At 53.3% G+C, this 22,636-nt stretch overlaps 1 protein-coding gene across 10 annotated transcripts in view, besides 6 other annotated features; it reads left to right on the forward strand.

Moving 5' to 3' along the window:
• The window catches only part of EFCAB8 (EF-hand calcium binding domain 8), a 102,923-nt gene that overhangs the window by 31,438 nt on the left and 48,849 nt on the right, over positions 1-22,636 (forward strand). For 5 of the 10 annotated variants that reach the window (NM_001143967.2, XM_024451883.2, XM_024451882.2 and 2 more), the window contains 10 exons: positions 1,853-1,937; positions 2,814-2,938; positions 6,094-6,167; positions 8,133-8,263; positions 16,202-16,269; positions 16,483-16,634; positions 17,915-18,052; positions 19,461-19,571; positions 21,120-21,347; positions 22,434-22,504. In NM_001143967.2, coding sequence (NP_001137439.1) covers positions 1,853-1,937; positions 2,814-2,938; positions 6,094-6,167; positions 8,133-8,263; positions 16,202-16,269; positions 16,483-16,634; positions 17,915-18,052; positions 19,461-19,571; positions 21,120-21,347; positions 22,434-22,504 — 1,183 coding nt within the window. Of the gene's footprint in view, positions 1-1,852; positions 1,938-2,813; positions 2,939-6,093; positions 6,168-8,132; positions 8,264-16,201; positions 16,270-16,482; positions 16,635-17,914; positions 18,053-19,460; positions 19,572-21,119; positions 21,348-21,429; positions 21,525-22,433; positions 22,505-22,636 lie in introns of those variants that run through there. The other 5 variants (XM_024451885.2, XM_047440147.1, XM_024451884.2 and 2 more) reach the window with 4 other exon arrangements.
• Positions 1,497-2,236: an enhancer, noted in NCBI's record as "H3K27ac hESC enhancer chr20:31479663-31480402 (GRCh37/hg19 assembly coordinates)". NCBI's record gives its function as "activates a minimal SCP1, AML or CMV promoter by ChIP-STARR-seq in primed H9 embryonic stem cells {active_cell/tissue: H9 hESC(primed)}" and the evidence as "EXISTENCE:reporter gene assay evidence [ECO:0000049][PMID:30033119]".
• Positions 2,774-3,286: an enhancer, noted in NCBI's record as "H3K27ac-H3K4me1 hESC enhancer chr20:31480940-31481452 (GRCh37/hg19 assembly coordinates)". NCBI's record gives its function as "activates a minimal SCP1, AML or CMV promoter by ChIP-STARR-seq in primed H9 embryonic stem cells {active_cell/tissue: H9 hESC(primed)}" and the evidence as "EXISTENCE:reporter gene assay evidence [ECO:0000049][PMID:30033119]".
• Positions 3,287-3,798: an enhancer, noted in NCBI's record as "H3K27ac-H3K4me1 hESC enhancer chr20:31481453-31481964 (GRCh37/hg19 assembly coordinates)". NCBI's record gives its function as "activates a minimal SCP1, AML or CMV promoter by ChIP-STARR-seq in primed H9 embryonic stem cells {active_cell/tissue: H9 hESC(primed)}" and the evidence as "EXISTENCE:reporter gene assay evidence [ECO:0000049][PMID:30033119]".
• Positions 3,799-4,310: an enhancer, noted in NCBI's record as "H3K27ac-H3K4me1 hESC enhancer chr20:31481965-31482476 (GRCh37/hg19 assembly coordinates)". NCBI's record gives its function as "activates a minimal SCP1, AML or CMV promoter by ChIP-STARR-seq in primed H9 embryonic stem cells {active_cell/tissue: H9 hESC(primed)}" and the evidence as "EXISTENCE:reporter gene assay evidence [ECO:0000049][PMID:30033119]".
• Positions 4,311-4,822: an enhancer, noted in NCBI's record as "H3K27ac hESC enhancer chr20:31482477-31482988 (GRCh37/hg19 assembly coordinates)". NCBI's record gives its function as "activates a minimal SCP1, AML or CMV promoter by ChIP-STARR-seq in primed H9 embryonic stem cells {active_cell/tissue: H9 hESC(primed)}" and the evidence as "EXISTENCE:reporter gene assay evidence [ECO:0000049][PMID:30033119]".
• Positions 16,385-16,885: an enhancer, noted in NCBI's record as "H3K4me1 hESC enhancer chr20:31494551-31495051 (GRCh37/hg19 assembly coordinates)". NCBI's record gives its function as "activates a minimal SCP1, AML or CMV promoter by ChIP-STARR-seq in naive H9 embryonic stem cells {active_cell/tissue: H9 hESC(naive)}" and the evidence as "EXISTENCE:reporter gene assay evidence [ECO:0000049][PMID:30033119]".

A 22,636-nucleotide genomic window follows, 5' to 3' on the forward strand; every position in this document is an offset into this window, starting at 1 on the left:
ACCCTCTAGTCCAAGATCCTCTGTTAAAAAGACCCCATGAGATTGTACCTCTTCCCTTCAAGGTCCCCTTTCAGTGTCATCTCACATGTATTAGTTTGCTTCTGTTTAGCACATGTCTCCTCCTCCAGACTGGAAGGTCAGGGACTGCATCTGTTCTGCTCAACTCAGTGTCTCAGTGCCTGGTACCTTCTGGATGCTCGATGACTATTGAATGGATGGATGATGAATGAGGCCTCTGACTGAGCAGACCTGTAAGGTGGTCAGGGAGAGGGAATTAGTACATGAAATGACAGCTGGTGATGTGAGGCTGAATGGGAGGAGAGAGAGTGGCTGTTCTGGAACAAGCAGGGACTGGAATAAAAAGGACCTGGGTTCAGGGCCTGGTCCCACTGCTCTGTAGATGTCTGCCTATGAGCAATTGCTTTACCTCCCAGTGCCTCGCTTTACCCAGAGGTAAAATGGGGCCTATGATACATGACTCCAGGGTGAGTGTGGCTTAGTAGTTAGGTGTGTGAAGCTGCTGGCATAGTGCCTGGCACATAGTGGGCAGTTAATCAACACTGACATCATTATGAGGCTAAATTGTGTGATACAGAGAAAGTGGTCAGCCGTCAGCAAGGGCTAGAGCAATCTATCTGTGACCCGCCTGGGCTTTCCACTGCAACATCTGTTTCCTGGGGACCCAGTGCTGTCCCAGGCTTCCTCACCCTTTATCCTCAGACAGCCCTGAGAATTTGGTGTTAAAACCCCATTTATTTTTTATTTTTTTGAGACAGTCTCACTCTGTCACCCAGGCTGGAGTGCAGTGGCACAATCTCGGCTCACTGCAACCTCTGCCTCCCGGGTTCAAGAGATTCTCCTGCCTCAGCCTCCTGAGTAGCTGAACTAGGGATTCATTTATTTTGGTTGAAAAAAAAATATTGAATTCTGGTTCGATGATGGGCTGGACCTGGTCTGCTGGGCCCGTGTTTGTTGGCTCATCAGGTGTCTGGGATTACAGGTGCGCGCTACCACACCCAGCAAATTTTTGTATTTTTAGTAGAGATGGGGTTTCACCATGTTGGCCAGGCTAGTCTCCATCTCCTGACCTCAGGTGATCCACCTGCCTCAGCCTCCCACAGTGCTGGGATTACAGGTGTGAGCCATTGCAGCCAGCCTAGAACCCCATTTTAGAGATAATTATGTCATCACTGCTGTCCTGATGGAGCAGCTGTCATCTGCTCGGAGGTACTCAGACAAGGCCAAAAGCAGAGGTGGAAGTGGCAACAGTGTGATCCCCGGCCTTTGTGGCCCCAGCCCAGTCCAGCCAGTGCTCCTTTTGTGACCTACAGCCCTCTGGGGTGGCCGGCCACGTAGAGAGGCAGAGGAGGGCGAGAGGCTGCCGTTCAGATGCGGGAGACAACATGACGGTGAGGCTGTTGCTCATCAGAGGCTGGAAGTGAGGCTGGATCTGTTGGAAGGAGTCAGTTTTTTTTTTTTTTTAATTGAGACAGGGTCTTGCTCTGTCACCCAGGCTGTAGTGCAGTGGTACAATCACTGCTCACTGCAGTCTCAAACTCCTAGGCTCAAGCAGTCCTCTTGCCTTAGCCTCCCTAAGTGCTGGGATCATGGGCATGAGCCACTGCACCTGGCCTGGGATTTTATTCCAGCTGCAGTTGGAAGCCTTTGGGGATTTTCAGTGGGGTTCCCGGTGGGTGGGTTTACTCTGTGAACAGCTGTCTGTGGTTGCCATGGGGGAAAAAGGGCTGAAGGGGCCAGAGATTCCTTGGGATAGCAATGAGGCTGCTCACTGTGACTGAAGACCTCCCAGGCATGGCTGTGGGCTCTATGTGGCCTTCTGTCTTTCCCCCAGATTTCTTTGATATTAGTGACCACAAATGTGTCCGGGCCTTCACCTTTGTTGATCTGGACAGCTGTGCTCTGGTCATGGACTACTGGTGAGTCTCCACTGGGTGTTCCTCACATGAACCAGGAGGCCCAGGCCTCCTGCAGCAGCCGCATCACTGACTAGGGTTGGGGCCCCCAGAAAGCCTCCTTGGAAAGATCTGGAAATATCTCCCCACTGGCTCCAAGGCCCCTGTGTCTTCCTCCCCACCAGGCTGCTTCTCTCTCAGGGTCACCTCTCATGGTCACTCAGAGCTTGGAGTCATTGTCACTCCCCCACCCAAGACAGCCACCAAATCCCAGCAGAGGCTTGTCTGGCTGTGGCTGAGGACTCTGGGGACATCACAGTCTATTGCGAGGGGTGACTTAACAAAGGGCAGCTGGAGGACTAGGGATTCATTTATTTTGATTGAGAAAAAAGTTGAATTCTGGTTCAGTGATGGGCTGGACCTGGTCTCCTGGGCCCGTGTTTGTTGGCTCCTCAGGTGTCTGGGCAAGGCCGGAAAGTGTTGTTGGAACTGCCCTTGCTTCCAAGGAGGAGGGAAGCTGTTGGGGGGCCAGGGAGGGAGTGGAGGCTCCACAGCCTCTTTTTTTTTTTTTTTTCTTTTTTTTATGACTCAGAGTCTCACTCTGTGTCCCAGGCTGGAGTGCAGTGGTGCCATCTTAGCTCACTGCAGCCTCCACCTGCCGGGTTCAAGTGATTCTCCTGCCTCAGCCTCCTGAGTAGCTGGGATTACTGGTGCCCGCCACCACGCTTGGCTAATTTTTGTATTTTTAGTAGAGATGAGGTTTCACCACGTTGGCCAGGCTGGTCTCGAACTCCTGACCTCAGGTGATTAACCTACCTTGGCCTCCCAGAGTGCTGGTCTTACAGGTGTGAGCCACCGCGCCCAGCCCACACAACCTCTTCCGTCTCCATCTTTCTGCAGGTCTGACTATCACAGAGGTGTGTTCTGCTATGGAGACGCCAAAGGCAACGTCATTGTCTTCACCTCCGAAAACATGACCAGTGGGCTGTTCAACCCCCGTATCCTCCCCAGGGCCTCCAAGTGGGGTAGCTAAGATGCTGGGGAAGGGGGCAGAGGCCTGGGCATGGCCTAGATGTGGGTGCTGAGGTCATCCTGGTCCCCGAGCCCCCCACTCCCTGCCTCTGCTCTGGAGTCTCTGGGAAGGCGTCTGCTTCCAAGCGCAGGGTGCATGCCGCTCAGCTCAGCACAGAGGGAGAGGCGATGGGGGGCAGCAGAAGACCACGAGGGCTGGGGAGAGGGGTGGCCTCTCTGAGGATGGGAGGCTGTGCGGGTGCGGTCTGGGGGTGCAGGACACTTCTCACCCCAGCATGATGCCAGTGGTGGGACCCTGGGGAAGTCCTTCATCCACTCTGATCCTGGGTGAGAGCACTGATGCTAACTAACTTCCTCGGATGGTGGCGAGGAGGCATGTGCTCTCCTTGGCTCTAGTGCTGCCTTTGGGTGGGCAGGGGCTGTCCTGGATGTGGGCTCTGTGGAGCCTGGGCATGGCCTGGCTGGCATGGGTGAGTGGGCACAGCTGAGTCTGGAGCACCCCTTGCTGAGCGCTTTGCATGCATCACCTCCCATAATCCGCCCCTACTGTCAGGAGGGAGGAGCCGCTGCTGCAGCCCATAATAAGAGGCAGAAAGGGTAAGGTCACCTGTACACGCCCCTGCCTGGTGAGTGGGGGCTAAGATCTGAAGTCCGGCTGCCTGCCCTGGAGTCTGTGCTTTTAGCCTTTTGCTGGGCTGCATCCCACACTGATTAATAGCAGGAGGAAGTCATTGGAGCTGTTCTGCCCAGGTCGCTAGATCCCCAGAGGATACGGCTCAGGGCCGCCTAGGGAACTCATCTGAACTGGAGCCTGTCTAGAATCCAGCCTTGCATGCACAGTGCTGGCTCTCCAGGTTGCCTCACATCCACCAGGAGGCCCAGGCCACCAGGGGCCCCATGCAGGGCCACCAACCCCCTCTTCCAGCCAGAGTTACTAAGCAGGACACTCCAGGGGTTCCCAGGCCTTGGTAACAGGCCCCTGGCAGGCTTGTTGGGGCAGCGTCCCCTGCTGGCAGAGCAGGGACAGATCCTGTCCTGGACACAGCAGTGGGCTGGCACCCTGCTTGCCTCATTGGCCTCGGGTGCCTGCCCTGCCCTGAGCTGCCCACTTAGCTGCTTGAGCCTAGTCACTCTGCGCCACCGTGGGAACTGGCACGGGAGGTTGTGGTGGTCTTTGAGCCACATGGTGAATGGGATATTGAGAGAGGCAGATGATACTGTTTGGGCAGGAGTCCTTCCATGCCAACAAGTGATTGAAGGCTAGGGACAAACATGACGATGAGGTGGGCCCAGTGTATGGACTTGGGAGGAGATGGACAGACCCAGGTATGTACCCCAGCTCTGTGTGACCTGGAGCCAGTTGCTTAACCTTTCTGTGCCTCAGTTCCCTTATTCAAATAGGGATGGCCCTACTTCCCTGATAGCTTTGGTATAAGAAACGTGGAACGTTAGGCACCTAGTAAGTGCACAGTGACTATGCTATGACTTCTTCCCTGCCCTCCCTCACAGCCTAGTAGGAGAGACAGGCAGGTAAACTGATGATTAAACCACAGCGCATCATAAAGCTGACTTCTGCCTGTGCCTGTGCACAACCAGCCCCACTCTGGCAGTCTTGGGCAACTTTCCACCCCTCCCTGGGACTTACTTTGCAAGCTTCCTCCTGCCCTTGCAAGATGGGGCTGGTGACTTTGCAGCAGTACAATGTTTGGCATGAGCCGCCAGATCCATCCTTGCTGTCTCTTCCCTCCTCCATCCCTGGGAGGGAACCTGAGCCTAGACTGCCCCAGCATTTGTGACCGCCTCCTTAAACTGCTCTGACGGAGGACCCATGTTTGTCCCTGACGGTGCTGGCTCTACTCGTCTGTGTCAGACTGGCTTTGCTTTCCCTGAAGATCCATCAACTGCTGGCCTTGAATGGTTTCAGCAGCCGGGAGATGCTAAGCCCCATGAGGGCTGCACCTGGCTTGCCTGAATTCCTCCAGACAGGCTTGTTTTATTTTATTTAAGATTTTTTTTTTTTTTTTTTTTTTACATTTTGAGACAAGGTCATACTCTGTTGCCCAGGCTGGAGTGTAGTGGTATGATCATGGCTCACTACAGCTTTAATCTCTTGGGCTCAAGTGATCCTCCCACCTTAGCCTCCCAAGTAGCTGGGACCACAGGCACGCCACCACCACTTCTGGCTAATTTTTTATTTTTTTGATTTTTTTTTGTAGAGATGGGTTCTCACTGTGTTGTCCAGACTGGTATCTTTTTTCTTTCTTTCTTTCTTTTTTTTTTTTTTAAGGCAGAGTCTTGCTCTATTGCCCAGGCTGGAGTGCAATGGTGCGATCTTGGCTCACTGCCACCTCTGCCTTTCGGGTTCAAGTGATTCTCCCGCCTCAGGCTCCTGAGTAGCTGTGATTACAGGCACACACCACCATGCCCGGCTAATTTTTGTATTTTTGTAAAGACAGGGTTTCACTATGCTGGCCAGGCTGGTCTTGAACTCCTGACCCCAGGTCATCTGCCCGTCTCGCCCTCCCAAAGTGCTGGGATTACAGGCGTGAGCCACCGTGCCTGGCCCAGGCTGGTCTCTTAACTCCTGGCCTCAAGTGACCTTCCCACCTGAGCCTCCTAAAGTGCTGGGATTACAGGTGTGAGCCACTGCGCCTGGCCCAGACATGCTTATTTTATGATGCATGCCTGGAACTTCTACTTTTTGGAACCTGTGCTTTCTGGACAAGGGGTGCATGTAGTTTGAGGCATGATGGCAAACTCCCAAGTGATTACTTTTCAGAACAAAAAGAGCCTAGAGTCTCAATTCCTTCTCCACTCCAGCAAAGATGGAGCTCCCTAATGAAGAATTAGCTTGTTTAGATTGCAGCACCTAGGAAGCGTGAGGTGCCCTGAAATCTGGTTCTAGTTCTGCCATGCACTGGCAGGGGCACTCTGGGAGGCAGCAGTGATCTGCCTGAGTCTTTTTCCTGGGGTGGGGGCACTCCGCTCAGCTCACCAGGACACAGTGAGGTGCCAGTGAGGGTTTGGGTGGAAAAGCCTTTTGAGAAGCACAGGAGTTGCAAGCCAACTCAAGACGTCTTCTGAGGCTTTGCTTGCCAAGCGAAGGGGGAAAGCTGCTGATGTGGACCTTGGTTTTTTCCCCTATCAGATCACTGGATCAAAGTTTCCTTGCAGAAACTCTTAAATGAGAAGTCTGCTTTGCATAGAAGCTACCGGCTGAAGGTGAGTTTTTTCTTTCCTTGGCCTGTTACAATGGTAATTATCTGTACACACACACCACTCAAAATAAATGCAAAAAGTGGATTTACTCCCTGGGTTCAGTCTTAGCCCTTGGGGTTTGGTCTCTGGAAACAGGTTGCGGCAGCTGTTGGATCCCGTCAGCTCTATCTGCAGACCACATCTCTGTGGCCATGCCCCTCTCACTACCGCCATTGCTAAGCCCTGGTCCTGGCCGACACCGCCTCGCTCCTGGATGGCTGCAGTGGCCTCTAGCTGGGTTCCCCACTTCCTTTCTTCATGCAGCACTGTCTCCATTCAGGGCCAGAGGAATGATGAGTTAGAAATACAGTTGAGTCACCCCGGTAGCTTCTCATCACATTTGGAACAAAATCTCAAGTCCTTACCATGGCCGTCAGGACGTGAGGTGATCTGGCTCCTGCTTGCAAGCTCTGGGCTTGTTTTCAACCTTCCTTCTCCCCATCTGCTCTCCTGCAGAGACGCAGGCTCCTCTGCTGTTCCCTGAATGGGCTCAGCCCCTTCCCGCCTCTGTGCCTCGGCATGTGCTGCGCCTTCAGGCCGCGGGGCTCTCCCCTAAGGTACCTGTATTCCCCCTATCTACTTCCTGTGGTCCCAAGCAGCCCTCCTAGGACAACCCTGTGCCCACCTCTGCTTTCATCCCTTCACCCGCAGTGTTTACCAGCTCCCAGCTTTGTGTGGTCCGACCATTGATTCCTCATGCTGTCACCTTCACGAGATCGACAGCTCCTCAACGGCAGCGGCTTCGTGCTCTCGGTTGTCTCCAGTGCCTAAAATAGTACCCTGCGCTTGGTGGGCTCCCAATACATTTGCTGCACAAATGAATGAATGAATGACGCACTCAGGGCGGTCTGGGTGATCCAACAGGCCTGCACTGACTTTTTTTTTTTTTTTTTGGTTGAGTCAGGGCCTTACTCTGCTGCCCTGGCTGGCATGCAGTGGTGCGATCATGGCTCACTGCAGCCTTGACCTCCCGGGCTTAGGTGATCCTCCCACCTCAGGCCCCCGAGTAGCTGGGAATACAAGCACCACACCCAGCTAATTTTTTAATTCTTTTTTTGAGACGGGGCCTCACTATGTTGCCCAGGCTGGTCTACCTACCTTGGCCTCCCAAAGTGCTGGGTTTACAGGTGTGAGCCACTGCACCCGCTCTTCTGTCTTCTGTGGGAAGCTCATCTTGGGCTTGGTTTTCCCTCCAGGTCTCACTCAGTGTCTTGGATTCGGTGCCTTCATTGCGACAGATGCTTGGTGACAGTGTGTGTAAAACCCAGCTCAGGGTCTTGCATGTAGAAAGCACCAAAGAAATATTTGATGAGCCAATCTCTCCAACCCGCCTTTTCCATTCTCGTCACAGAGAGGAAAATCTCTAGATTGGGAGGCCAAGCACTGGTCCAGGTCACAGAGTTGGCGCCGGAGAATTCAGAGCCCAGCCAGCCCCTTCGACTGCGCGTCATCTTTTGTGGTTCAAGTTGCCGTGAAATGCACATTCTCATGCCCTCCGCGCTTCCTTGAGCACTCCACGCTATGACAAACATGGAGGGTGGCAGTGGGCTGGGAGCACAGCCCATCTGTAGAGGGGGCTCCCTGTGGATAACTAGATTGTGGCCTGGACAGACTTGAATTCATCCTTTCTCTCCTCGTGGGAGATGATTAGTATGGGCCTGACCTTCCCCATCCTCTAACTCACAAGATTTCAAATGAAAGTAGGCTTGTGTGCTTTTAAAAATTTTCAGTGACGAGAGATGGCCAGTGCTGGTCATAGGACCTGGGCTAGGATTGCGGGGCCACATCACTTTGTGATCACTAGGAGAAGGGCATTAGACTCCGTGATCTCTGGGCACCTCCAGTCCCAGCACCTGGTCATGTTCTGGGGGCTGGGCCTAGAAAGTTGTCCTTGGGTGGAGTCTCCCACCATTGCTACTGTCTTCCCAGGCTCTCCATCCCAACTGGTGTGAGCAGGTCAAGTTCATCCCCCAGATGAATGTGGTAGTCTCCTGTTCAGCCATCGAGAAGTCCTCTCTGGTGCTGACAATATTGCCAGCCAAAGCCTCTAAGAAACCCAGGTAAGAAGTGCTTCTCTCCTGGCTAAGGCGGTGGGGCTGGAAGGGAGGGGGGTGGTGAGTGGACCATGGGGGCTGACAGTGGCAGATGGTGGTTGGTGTATGGACTCTGGGGTTTAGTTTTTCCAGCATTGCCAGCAGCAGCACGGTGAGAACACAGCAGCCTCTTTTATCTCCCAATCTATATGCAAAACTCAGCATAGAAGCCAGCACAGAGTGATTGGCAGTCAGTGAAATGTTTTCTGAATGAAGGGATGACTGTGAGTTACTTTCTCCTCTGTGACCCTCAGTTCCCTCATCTGTGAAAGGGTGTGAAAGCACGTACCTCACTTCCTGAAGGGTTGCATGAGGGAATCCTCTGTGGTATGTGTTCAGTAACTGGCAGCATTGGTTCTTTGCAGATGGTTCCAATCTGTTTCCTTCAGTCTAGATTCCTCTACCCTAGAGTGAAGTTTTTTCTTTTCTTTTGAAAAACTAGTTAGTCACCGGGCGCGGTGGCTCACGCCAGTAATCCCAGCACTTTGGGAAGCCGAGGTGGGTGGATCATGAGGTCAGGAGATCGAGACCATCCTGGCTAACATGGCGAAACCCCGTCTCTACTAAAAATACAATAATAATAATAATAATAATAATAATTAGCCGGGCGTGGTGGTAAGCACCTGTAGTCCCAGCTACTCGGGAGGCTGAGGCAGGAGAATGGTGTGAACCCAGGAGGTGGAGCTTGCAGTGAGCCGAGATTGCGCCACTGCACTCCAGCCTGGGGGACACAGTGAGACTCCGTCTCAAAAAAAAAAAAAAAAAGAAAAACCAATTAATCACACAAGTATGTATTAAATGCATTGTCCATGTAAAAAATGAAAACATTATAAAGAAGGTTGGAGTCCTGAGGGGCCCCCTCCTTATTCAATCGCCATTCCCTGACCCAGTTATCAAAAGCCACCACTTCTGGTTTTTTTTCTTTTTTTCTTTTTGTGACAGAGTTTCACTCTTGTTGCCCAGGCTGGAGTGTAATGGTGCGATCTCGGCTCGCCACAACCTCTGCCTCCCGGGTTCAAGTGATTCTCCTGCCTCAGCCTCCCGAGTACCTGGGATTACAGGCACGCACCACCATGCTCGGCTAATTTTGTATTTTTAGTAGAGACGGGGTTTCTCTGTGTTGGTCAGGCTGGTCTCGAACTCCTGATCTCAGGTTATCAGCCCGCCTCGGCCTCCCAAAGTGCTGGGATTGCAGGCACGAGCCACCGCGCCTGGCCCACTTCTGTTCTTTTACTGTGTGGCTTCTACTGTGCCGTTTACTGTGGATAAACTGGTAGGTATGTTCTCTCGCGGAGTCTTCCTGCTGGGTGGCTCTTGCCCCTGCAGTTTTCCTCCGGCCCCTAGTCTTTACCTTGAGCCTTTGGGGCTCTGACATTTTGCTTCTGCACAGGCTGAAGATTGAGCCCCAGGAGAGTCTTTTTGGGGGAACAGCAGGAGATTTAAGGCCTGTATTGGGGAGAGACTGGGTGAGGCCAGGGTGGGGTTGGGGCAGAAACAGAGGGCCATTTAGACCCATGTCTGTCCCTTTCTGTCCTGGTTGTTTTTCAGGGGAAATTTCAATCCTGAGATGATAAGGCTAATTTCGTCCAACTCCTCATTTTACAGATGGGAAACCCGAAGCTTAGGGAGGGGAAGTGACTGTCTTAGAGCAGACACTTGAGCTGGAGTTTTATCTTGGGCCTCATTATATGTCCAGTGCCTTTTTTTGTTTTGTTTTGTTTTTGAGACGGAATCTTGTTGTGTCACCAGGCTGGAGTGCAGTGGCGCAATCTCGGCTCACTGTAACCTCCGCCTTCCAGGTTCAAGTGACTCTCCTGCCTCAGCCTCCCTAGTAGCTGGGACTACAGGCACGTGCCCCCGTGCTCAGCTAATTTTTGTATTTTTATTTTTCATTTTTTAATTTTTATTATTTTTATTTTTTGTTTTTTTGTGACGGAGTCTCACTGTGTTGCCAAGCTGGAGTGCAGTGGCACAATCTCGGCTCACTGCAACCTCCGCCTCTCGGGTTCAAGCAGTTCCCCTGCCTCAGCCTCCCAGGTAGTTGGGACTACAGGTGTGCGCCACCATGCCCGGTTAATTTTTTTTCATATTTTAGTAGAGACGGGGTTTCACCATGTTGTCCAGGATGGTCTCGATCTCCCAACCTTGTGATCCACCCACCTTGGCCTCCCAAAGTACTGGGATTACAGGCGTGAGCCACCATGCCCGGCTTAATTTTTGTATTTTTAGTAGAGATGGGGTTTCACCATGTTGGCCAGGATGGTCTCGATCTCTTGACCTCGTGATCCGCCCACCTCGGCCTCCCAAAGTGCTGGGATTACAGGCATGAGCCACCGCGCCCGGCCGTCCAGTGCCTTTTTAACCAAACAGTGCACTGTGTACATTTCTAGACAAGTCCTGGAGCTCCCTGCAGGCCGGAAAAAGGGGCCTCCGGGAATGTCTGACGTGAAGGGGAAGTTTCAGTCTTGGGTTCAGTGCTTTGAATGGGGCCGTGTGGCAGAAGTTTGCTTGGAGCTGTTTGCTGAGGCTATCTGTCTGCATTGGTGGTGGTATCACTTAGTGTATATTGGGGTGTCCAATCTTTTGGCTTCCCTGGGCCACATAGGAAGAAGAAGAATTGTCTTGAGTCACACATAAAATACACTGACACTAACAATAGCTGATGAGCTAAATAAAAATCACAAAAAAGTCTCATAATGTTATAAGAAAGTTTATGAATTTGTGTTGGGCCACATTCAGAGCTGTCCTGGGTTGTATGAGGCCCATGGGCTGTGAGTTGGACAAGCTTGGTGTATAAGATATGTGTTTCATTCAGATCTTGTTTTATTGAGTCCTGATGGCAGGAGGATATCAGGGGGTCACCTCACCAGGGCCAGGAGGGCCTCTGTGGGCCGGGCCTGCTGCCTTCCTGACCTCATTGCCTCCACCTGCCCACTCAGCTCCACTGGCCTTCAGGCTCAGGCGTGCTCCTGCGCCAGGGCCTTTGCACAGCTCCGCTGTCTGTGGTATGCTCTTGTTATTGATTGACTGATTGATTGATTGATTGATTGAGACAGAGTCTTGCTGCAGTGCCCAGGCTGGAGTGCGGTGGTGTAATCTTAGCTCACTGCAACCTCCACCTCCCGGGTTCAAGCGATTCTCCTGCCTCAGCCTCCCAAGTAGCTGGGATTACAGGCACGCGCCATCATGCCCGGCTAATATTTGCATTTTTAGTAGAGACGGGGTTTCACCATGTTGGCCAGGATGGTCTTCATCTCTTGACCTCATGATTCGCCCGCCTCGGCCTCCCAAAGTGCTGGGATTACAGGCGTGAGCCACCGCTCCTGGCCTTGTTTTTTAAATTAATTAATTTTAAATTAATATTTTCATTATAAAATGTTTCAAACACACACAAAAATAGATAAAATGGTATAATTCTTCCATATCACCTAGTAGCTAGTCCACGTTAATATTTCTCTAAGTACCTCAGAGTATCTTCTTACAATATTTGGAACTAGATATAAGCACGGTTCTGGGATGGTTTTGAGCAGAGAACTGGTGTGGTCTGGCTTATATGTTGCAGGTGGAGTGTCCATGGGCAGGGGTGGTGGTGAACACACCAGTGAGGAGGCCATTGCAATAGTTGAGGCTGCATAGGATGGTGGCCTGGAGCTGGGCTGTGTTGTGGGATGGAGGGACTGGAGATGTATTTTTGGGGTAGGGTAGAGAATATATTTACACACACAAACACAGAGACACATGTTCCCTTCCTTCAGCCTGGGTGACAGAGCAAGACCCTGTCTTCAAAAAAAACAAAAGACTCCATTCAGGTCAGACACGGTGGCTCACTTCTGTAATCCTAGCACTTAGGGAGGCCAAGGCAGGAGGATCCCTTGAGGCCAGGAGTTCAAGACCGGCCTGGGCAATACAGCAAGATCCCATCTACACAAAATATTTAAAAATTAGCTGGGAGTGTTGGCACACCCCATGCATTCTTGTCTGCATGCAGTGCAATGTACAGGCCGGCAGGTGGCACAATTGACCACTTGCTGGTCTCCCGTTTTGGCGATGCCATCTTAGGGCATATCCTCTGCGGGTGGGGCCTGGCATTGGCACCCCAACCTCTGCCTCTGGAGTCAGCCTCAGCCTCCAAGGCAGTGTGGGCCTGAGGGTCTGGCTTCCTTGCAGCCAGCCTCACCTGAGTTCTCAGATGGTTCGAGCCAGGAGCAAATCTGACGGAGCGGGTGTGGTAGCAGGAGCCGGTGCTGAGTGTGTGGACTGACCCCCGGCGTCTCCCCGACTGTCCCCTCTTCCTTCACTTCTGCCACCACCACCTAGTTGAAGCCACCGTCATCTCCCACCTGAACTGCTTGCCCTGGCCCTCTTAGCAGCCTCACCGTGTCCCCTCAGGCCACATTTCCTGACCCACGGCCATCAACAAATCTGATCCAGCCAGGGCCCTGTATGGAGCCTTCAACGGCTCCTGGCCAGGGCTGTGGATTGGGCCCTGCCCATCTCGCCCATGTCCTCTCATGCCCTCTCCTCCTGGCCCACCTGGTGCCCACCACACCGGCCTTGCATAGGCTGCTCCCTCCGGCTGAAGCCTCACCCCTCCCCTGGGCTCCCCGGGGCTGACTCCTTCTCACCCTTCAGGTCTCCGCTGCCCTGGACCCTCCTCAGAGAGGCCGGCAGAAGTGAGCCTCCTTCTGTTGTCCTCCGTCAAAGCCATGTGCTTATGTCCCTTGCAGGACTCGCCATGATTTGTAAATGTCCATCTCCCTTCTGTGTGTCCACTTCCTCCTGTTGTTTCCCTCTAGAAGGAAAACCCCCTATGGCAGAAGCCTCGTGTCTGTGCCCCTGGTAATCCTGGCAGGAGTAGGAGCCAGGAAATCTTTGTTGATCAATACGTGAAATCGGCCTGAAATAATTTCTACTAACATTTTGGTGACCATTCTTCCAGAACATTTTTCGGCAGCACATATACGTGTGGAGGGAGGAATATCTGGTTTGGCAATAAATGAAATATGTGTACTGCCATCTGTTCTCTTTGAAGCTTTGATTTTTAGAGGAATCCTTGTGTCTCTGGACAGATGATTTAAAGGGGAGCAAGGCTGGAGATGAAGGAACTGGCTGGGAGGCTGATACGGCAAAGTCAGGGGCCTGGGCTAGCAGTGGCCATGGGAGTGGAGGGAAGTAGGCAAGGAGGACTTGGGGCCAGGCTGGATAATGGGAGCCACAGTGTTGTCCAGGTTGATGCCCAGGCACCTGGCTTAGGCCCCCCGGGAGTGGTGGAGGAGCCGGGTCAGGGGTGACTTCAGTGGAGGGCATACTGTGTCAGGGGGTCGGGTGCCCTACTACAGATGCCTTTGAATGGATTTTTTGGGTTTTTTTTTTCTGAGGCAGGGTGTCGTTCTGTTGCCCAGGCTGGAGCTCACTGTAACCTCAAACTCCCAGGCTCAAGTGATCCTCCTGCCTCACTTTCCTAAGTAGCTGGGACTGCAGGTGCACCACCATGCCCAGCTAATTTTTAATTTTTTTGTACAGATGGGATCTTGCTGTGTTGCCCAGGCTGGTCTTGAACTCCTGGCCTCAAGGGATCCTCCTGCCTCGACCTGCCAAAGTGCTGGGATTACAGGCGTGAGCCACTGTGTCTGGCCTGAATAGAGTCTTTTTGTTTTTTTCGTGGACAGGTTCTTGCTCTGTCCCCCAGGCTGGAGTGCAGTGGCATGATCACAGCTCACTGCAGCCTCAACCTCCTGGGTTCTAGCAATCCTCCCACCTCAGCCTTGCAAGTATTTGGGACTGCAGGTGCACCATCACGCCCAGCTAATTTTTGTTTTTTTTGTACAGATGGGATCTTGCTGTGTTGCCCAGGCTGGTCTTGAACTCCTGGCCTCAAGGGATCCTCCTGCCTGTGCCTGCCAAAGTGCTGGGATTGCAGGTGTGAGCCACCACACCTGAATGGAGCTTTTTTTTTTTTTTTTTTTTTAAGGCGGTGGCGGGGTGGGGGTACTGAGTCTTTCTCTGTCACCCAGGCTGGGAGTGCAGTGGTACAATCTTGGCTCACTGCAACCTCCACCTCCCAGGTCCAGGTGATTCTCCTGCGTCAGCCTCCTGAGTAGCTGGGATTACAGGCACATACCACTATGCCTGGCTAATTTTTGTATTTTTAGTAGAGGCGAGGTTTTACCCTGTTGGCCAGGCTGGTCTGGAACTCCTGACCTCAGGTGATCCGGCCGCCTTGGTCTCCCAAAGTGCTGGGATTACAGGCGTGAGCTACTGTGCCTGGCCAGAATGGAGTTTTGAAGAGTGTAGTAGAAGGAGCTGGCGGGGCAGGATGTTGTGGATGAGAGGCATGGGCATAGGCACAGAGCATCTGCGGTTCTTAGGCCTGTGAGGGCTGCAGGGCCCTGGCCTTCCTGGAACTCCTGTCTGGGCCTCTCCAGCCCTCTGAGCCTCACCCGGCCCTAATGAGCCTCTCCTCTCCTGGATCGCTGCTTACTGAGCTTCCTGCCACCTCCTGCCATATCCACCCTAGGTCTGAATCCTGACCCCTGTGCGGGAGGAGTAATATTTTTTCTTCACCCATTGTAAGGTTTATGGCTGAGACCCTGATAACAAAAGGCAGATGAACAAGAGAAAAGCATGCACATTTAAGTTTCATGTGACATGGGAGCCTTCAGAAAAAAACCCAAAGAGACAGGGACGCCTGTGTAGTTTCATGTGAAGTTTGATGAAGAATGGACGGTCATGCAGGACGACTGGACTAGTACCATCTGATGGCAGTAAACTGTTTGTCCAGATCCCCCTCTGTGTCCCTGTGTCTTCAGAAATAAGGACATTGGGGCTGGGTTTGGTGGCTCATGCCTGTAATCCCAGCACTTTGGGAGGCCATGGGTGGCTCACCTGAGGTCAGGAGTTCCAGACCAGCCTGGCCAACATGGTAAAAGCCCATCTCTTCTAAAAATACAAAAATTAGCCAGGCGTGGTGGTGTGTACCTGTAATCCCAGCTACTCTGGAGGCTGAAGCAGGAGAATCACTTGAACCTGGGAGGTGGAGGTTGCAGTGAGCCAAGATCGCACCACTGCACTCCAGCCTGGGCGACAGAGTGAGACTCCATCTCAAAAAAAAAAAAAAGGACATTCCTTTCCCCTAGGTATAGGTATAGAGTGGGCACCTATGGAATCAGTGTTCTATGACCTGCTTCAGGGAGAAGGCTAGGGGAAGGCAAGCGTGGCCCTCCTGCTGCTTCTGCTGTTGTCTCAAATGCCAAGATGCCATATTTTGGGGTAGCATGTCCTAAACCCCATAACCCCCATTGTTTGCAACCTGTGTGACCTTGGGGAAGCTCCTTGACTTTTCCTTTTGGTGTCTCTATCCCTAGCGCAGGGCAGTTCTATTCTTGGGCATTGTATGAGATGTCCAGATGATGCAGGAGACAGCACCCTGCATGGGGACCACACGTAGCCAGGGTGGGGCACCCGGGAGCTTCCTTTCTGTCCCTCCCTTGGAACCCCGCTTTTTTCTTGATTTGTATCATGGATGGGAAGATGCCTGTCCCAGTACAGTTGATGTGAAAATCAAATTTGCCCTTGGAATGAGGCCAAATGCTTTACAAATGTCAGGAGTCGCTCCTGCCTGGGAGCTGTCTCTACCTGGAAGGTGGCATCTGGCCTGTGGGCTGTTGGTTTGGGGCCAGGACTGGGCTGCTGCTTTGCCTGTGGTGCTGAGCCCTGACTTGGCTGCAGGGTGAACCCTGGGTGGTCTCTGGGGCTACTCCTCTCCTAGGATGGAGAGGTAGTGACTCCTCCCTAGGCCTCCTGGGAGGCTCTGCCTCTAGCTCCTCCCACCCCAGGCTCAGTCTCAGACGCTCTCTTGGGGCCACTGCTCCCGGCCCTGCAGCCCTCACTCCTTTGATATTGTAGGTTGTCAGTGCTGCGTTTAAGGAAAGGGATTCTTTGCTTTGATTACTGCCCAGACAGGAACTTCCTGGGTAAGTCACCTTCATGTCACCCAGAAGCTGCTGGGGGGAGGGCTGCTGGGGATGGGGGGACCACCAGAGCTCAGGAGAGGGCTGCACAGCATCTGGCCTCTGTCTGGCTTCCTCTCCTGCTGCTCTTGTCCCCACTTCTGGGCACCACCTTCACCAGTGGGTGAAGGTCCCCAGTGGAGGCCCCTGGGACTGACACCCACGTCTTGACCACAGTGACTGGTGGCTACGATGCCTTCATCCGCCTGTGGAACCCCTTTGTCTCAAAGAGGCCCGTGTGGCTGATGAAGGGACACCAGACCTCAGTGACGCACATCCTTGTGGATAGCAGGAACAACAGCATCCTCATCAGTGTCTCCAAGGACAAGGTCCGCCCCGACGGTCCGCCTGACTCCTTCTGTTCCTCAGGGAAACACACTGGCCAGAGAAATGGCATGACCTCCCTGCCCACGGCCCCACATCTGGCCAAAGGCCTAGCAGGAGGGGCCCCGGGTGGGAGGAAGGTGAGGGTGGCCATGGACCTCTGAGCATGTCCCCAGAGCTGGGTTCCCAGGTAGCCCAGCCTGGCTTCTAACTTTGTGACCCTGGCAAGTCCTTCCCTTTTCTGAGCCTCAGTCCTCAGTCTCCCTATCCATAGAATGGGCTGTTGAGTGGTTTAGAGAACCAGCAGCAAAACAGCAGTGCAGTGTCTGGCACAGGGGAGTTGTGCAATGCATGGCAGCCGTTCCCCTGCGCTGCCCCTGCCCTCGATCTGCACCTCTCAGTTGCTCTAGTGACCCCTCCTCGGCTGCCTGGCCATGAGGGCTGGGCTTGGCCTTTCCCACATGCCAGGGCTCCCACTTGGGACCCGCCACTGTGCTCCTCTGCAGCTGTAGGCTCAGGATACTGCCCCGTCTGCTGGGCTGTGGGCCCACAGTGCTGGGGGCCCTCCTTTAGGGGACAGGTTACGTTTTCTGGAACTCTGGAGATGGAGAATTGTCAGGGCCCTCAGGGTCACCTGGAGCACCCTCTCCAACATATCCACACACCCTCCTGTCTGGAATTTTCCCAGAAGCCCTGGGAGCTGGGATCATCGCCTCTGATGAAGGGTCTGAGTCTGGGGCATGGGGACAGGGACAGTCTCGCTGAGGTCCCCAGTCGGCCATGGGCAGAGGATGCCTCCAAGAAGTCAGGGTCTTGGAGGGACTTCTGTGGGGCCCTCTAGGGAAAGTTCCTCCACCTGGGAGGAATGGGAGGGGCCCCTCTGGGGACAGGCAGGCCACTGTGGCAACTATGTTGGTAGCCACTACCGGACTGTGTCCCAGGCTGGAGTGGCAGCAAGGGAGGGCCTGGGGCCAGCATGTGCTGCCTGGCTTGGCTTTTGTACCCAGCCAGTGAATTCAGCTGCTCCAACAGGGTGGAGGCCTGGGGGCAGGCTGGGGGTGGAGCTGTGCCCGGCCCTCACTCACTGTGTACCTGGGTTATCTGAGCACAAGAGTAGCCTCTCTGCTGCTGGGTGTGACGGTGCCAACACCATGTGTGTGTGTTAGAAGTGCTTGGACGGACGATGTGCCCTGGCCTTGTTCGCCGGAGGCACCCCCGAGGCTTCAGGAGCCGGCTACATCCCCGAGACCCATGCTCAGCGTCTTGCCTTTTTCCCATCCCCCAGAATATTCGCGTGTGGGACATGCTGGACTACATATGCCTCCAGTCCTTCTGTGGGAAGTTTTTTGCTCTGGGAAACTGCCCCATCACCAGTGCCTACTTCTTCGAGAAGGACAATACCCTCATCTGCAGCACCTACTCAGTGAGTGCTGTCCCAGGAGGGAGTGGGGTCAAGGCCGCAGGTGGAGGGCCAGGGTCTGAATCCCATGGGACACCCAAGGGGTGGCCACGTCCTGTCCCTCCTGGGACTGCTGAAGCGGCTAGACTCTGTGGCCTGGCCTGTGAGGGGCCGTGTCTTGGGATTTCCTGAAATCCTGTTTCTAGGCCCCCAGCCTGTCACCCTCTCTGCAGCTGCTGCTGCTGTCTGCACTGTCCCCACTCAGGCGTCCTCAGCCTCTCCCTCTGGGAGCCACCCTGAACGTCAGGCTTGTTAGGAGCCCTTCCTCCATGTTTTCTTGGCCCCGTTCCTTGTCTCAGTCATGAGCCTCATAACTCTGTCCTGTCGCTATTACATGACTGTTTTTCCTGCTAAGTCATGAACTTTGGGAAACAGGGGCCACGTCCGAGCAGCATCTCTGCAGGAGAGACCCTGTGGGAAACTGAGTCACAGATAGGAAGGCCATCTGTGACTCAGGACTCAGCTGGAACCCCTGTGAGGTCTGTCCTGACCCTGGAGGACAGGAAAGATTGGGACAAGCACGAGGGGCTTCCTGTGGAGGATGGGGGTAAGGGGGCCCACAAGAAGGTGGAGGCTTGGGGAGCTGCAAGGCTGAGCCACAACCCACAGATGGGAGCAGAAGCCCAGAAAAGAGATGCGGGGGCCGCTCGTGCTTGAGCTCCACCAAGGCCTCCCACGCTCCGTGGGCTGGGCCACCCTGGTCGGTGACATGTGTGTCATCCTTACGCACTTGGCTGGCCCTCCCCTAGACAGCAGTTTTCTTGAGAAGGTAGTGGGTTCCTTTATCTCCTTGCTGAGTGCCAGACAGGTGGTCAGCATTTGCTGAATTAAATAGGCCTTTGAAGTTCATTTCAGAGCACCAAACCTTATCAACCCCCTGCCTTTTGTCATGAACAGAGAATATATGACAAAGACACTGTCCCATCTCTCTAGGAACCTACAGGGTAGAAGAAAAACAGATAATTTCGGTAGAAAGTGCTATGTGTTATGGTAGAGTTGTGCTTTTTGGAGCACAGAGGAATCCTTAGCCTCGCCTGGGGCAAGGGGGAGGCAGGGAGGGCTTCCCGGAGGGAACACCTGATTGAGGCTTCAGCTTCTCAGAAGTTATAAGGTGAAAGGGACCTTGGACTTGGAATTTGGGGTTCTAGGAACACTAGGGTTTGGAAGGCTCAGTCTCGGGGAGCGGGGGCCATGGAGTAGGGTGGGGGTATCTGCAGGCCTGCTGAGGAACCTGGAGTCTTGCTGGAATCAGGCCTGCGTGTGGTCAGGACGTCTTGATGTCGTGATTTATTGGAAGTTTTTCCCGGCAGCCCATCACTGTGAGCAGAGCCCTTCTGACAGACAAGCTCTCTGCCCCTTTCCTCACCTACAGATCGGGATCCTAAAAGGGTACTTAGAGGCCCAGGGGCTTATCAAAGCAAGGAAGAGGACCACTCATTGCTCACCCCTGTGTGCTGTCCTCTACAGCAAGATCTTTAAGCAGGTGAGTGGCCCAGGGCTCGCCTCTGAGGCTGGCGGGAACACCAGGTGACACGGGGCAGAACCAGACCTCCCTGTGTGCCTGGGTCTGTAGTCAGCTCCCATGGCACATTGGGAACTCTTACAGCCTTGATGGTGGTGCTGGGGCAGCGGGATAGACACAGAAAGCAGCTCTACAGATGGGCTGGCGTGGGATCAGCTCAGAGCTCCATCCGTTAGCCATGGGATCGCCTAACTCCTCTGAGCCTCATGCCCTTGGCTGAGCGCCTTGGGTCAGCTCTGGACTGGGCCTTCTTGATGTGGAGTATGAGACAGAGTGCTAGTTGTGGGGCGCTTTCCTAGGTTCCCAGAGTGGGTGCTGTTCTTGGGCATCTCTTTGCAGGGAAGCCATAACTTGGCTTTTTTCATTGTAGGAAGGGACGGAGGCCCAGGCAGCAGGCAGCACCTTGGTCCTGCGTGGAGTCTCTGGGTTGGGCAGGGCAGCTGGGCATGAGGAGTTGCTTCTGAGGTGTGAGGATAGGAGGGGCTGCTGCCTGAGGCCCTCTGCTCACTCCCACCCACTGGGACCTCTTGTCTGGCCCAGGCTCTGGACAGGTGCGCCGCATCGGCTGCAGAGGTGGCCTTGGGCTGCACAAGGCTGGAGCTCACCATTCTGGGCTTCTCTCCCATCCTGGCTCCTGCCACCACCCTCTCTCACTGCCTCAGGGCTCTTCAGTACCTTAAAAAAGTTTGTTTAAAATTTAAAAAAATTATCAACTTTTCTAGATCTTCTCAGTAGGGAGGGTTGGTCTGAAACCACCTCACTTGCTACTTTTTTTTTTTTTTTTTTTTTTGCCAGGGTCTCGCTCTGTCGCCCAGGCTGGAGTGCAATGGGACCTTGGCTCACTGCAGTCTCTGCCTTCCGGGTTCAAGCGATTCTCCTGCCTCAGCCTCCCGAGTAGCTGGGACTACAGGCATGCACCACCACCCCCAGCTAATTTTTGTATTTTTAGTAGAGACAGGGTTTCAGCATTTTGGCCAGGCTGGTCTCAAACTTCTGACCTCAAGTGATCCACCCTCCTCAGCCTCCCAAAGTTTTAGGATTACAGGCGTGAGCCACTGTGCCCAGCCTTACCTGCTACTCTTGCATTATAACAATGGTCATGGTGGCAAAATGTTTCATTGAGTGGCATGGCTGTCCTTATTCTCAACAGTTCCCTACTTAGGGGGCAGTTAGTTTATTTCTTATTTTTTTGACGGGGTGGTCATGATTAATGTTGTTTCAGTAATGTCTTTTCCATATAGGGATTATTTTCTTTGGCTAGATCCTGATAAGTGCCATTTCTGAGTTAACAGGTCTTCACCAAACGTTCCAGTGCGTTCCAGTTTGCACTGCCCTGTGATACAGGGCAGAGGAGGTCCTGTTTTCAAAAGTGGCTTATGCTGTAGCAGGGGGCCCTGAACGTCTGTTTTCTCAGTGGATGGAGGGGAGGGGCCAAGGCAGGCTGGAGACCACCCTTGGGAGTGGAGGCCCCGGCCTCTCCAGCAGCCCCCAGCTGTGTGCTCCCTACAGGTGGTGAGTGGCTGCCTGCGCGGCACAGTGAGTGTGTGGGAGGTCGTGACGGGCAGGAAGACGATGGAGTTTGCTGTGTCTGGGGGCCAGCACGTGGAGATGACCGCCATGGCCCTGGATGAGTCAGAGCGGTGCCTGCTCACAGGTTTGCGGGATGGCACAATGAAGATGTGGAACTACAACATTGGCAAATGCCTGTTGACCTTTCCCAGTCCGGAACAGCTGGAGGTCAGTCTTGCTTGTCAATTACAGCCAGGGACGGCCTCTTGGGAAGCAAAGCACAGCTCCTTTGACCCTGGGATGCACTATTTTTTGTACCTCTCTGAAAGGGTGTTCATCATAGTCAGGTGGCCTGGCTTCAAACCTCCCTGAGCCTCTGTGTCCTCATGCATGAAATGAAGACAGGTAACAGTGCCTGGACTAATGGGTTTCCACTAAGGTTAGCTACTGTTGCTCTTTAAATTTGCTAGCACTTCTCATTCCACATACTGGAGCTTTGGATTGCATTTCTAGCAGTGGGATCAGTTAATTCACAGCCACCCATGGTCACCCCTATTTGGGAAATGCCTGATGGTATTATAGGGCCAGTCCATGGGAGTGGCATAGGGCAAAGCCAGCAGTTCCACCCTAACTTCTGTGACACAGTCCTTTAACCAACTCAGAAAGTGTACTTAGCTGGCCAGGCAGTGGCTCACGCCTGTAATCTCAGCACTTTGGGAGGTCGAGGCAGGGGGATCACCTGAGGCCAGGAGTTCGAGACCAGCCTGGCTAATATGGTGAAACTCCCGTCTCTGCCAAAAATACAAAAAAAATTAGCCAGGCGTGGTGGTGGCTGCCTGTAATCCCAGCTACTCGGGAAGCTGAGGCAGGACAAGCCGGGAGGTGGAGGCTGCAGTGAGCCGAGATCCCGCCATCGCACTCCAGCCTGGGCAGCAAGAGTGAAACTCTGTCAAAAAAAAAAAAAAAGAAGAAGAAGAAAGAAAGTGTACTTAGCCAAGATGCCAGGGGTTGAGTACTGCTCCAGATCCTATCACTCAGTAGTGACTTGACCTTAGCCAGGTCACTTGCCCATTTCCCAGCTATCCTCTCTGTAAAATGGACATGGATGCCTACCCTATCTCACTCCCCTAAGTCCATCAAATGAGGGAATAGGATGTGAGAACATGATGACAAATACATGGTGGTATCACCTGTAGGTGATTTTCGTCATCCAGAGATTTGACTTCTTGCTTGGCACCTTTAGGAAGACATTTAGGGCCCAGAGCCATTTTCTCTGATAAGTTTTCTAGTTCTGTTTTCTTTCATCTTCAACAGATTAGTGGGATTATCCATATGAACAAAGTGTTCTATGTGACAGGATGGAGTAAGAGAATCACTCATTTCCTGTGAGTAGAAAGCATGTATGGTGAGTAGGTTCCAGTAGCTGCGTGTTCTCTCTCCAGATGGGTTCCTCCATTCCTGGCTTTCCTGGTGGTTGGAACACCATGCAGGAAGTTAGTGGTGGTTAATGACTATTG

Source organism: Homo sapiens, chromosome 20 (genome assembly GCF_000001405.40).
Source record: "Homo sapiens chromosome 20, GRCh38.p14 Primary Assembly".
In the NCBI taxonomy this organism is placed as follows: Eukaryota; Metazoa; Chordata; class Mammalia; order Primates; family Hominidae; genus Homo; species Homo sapiens.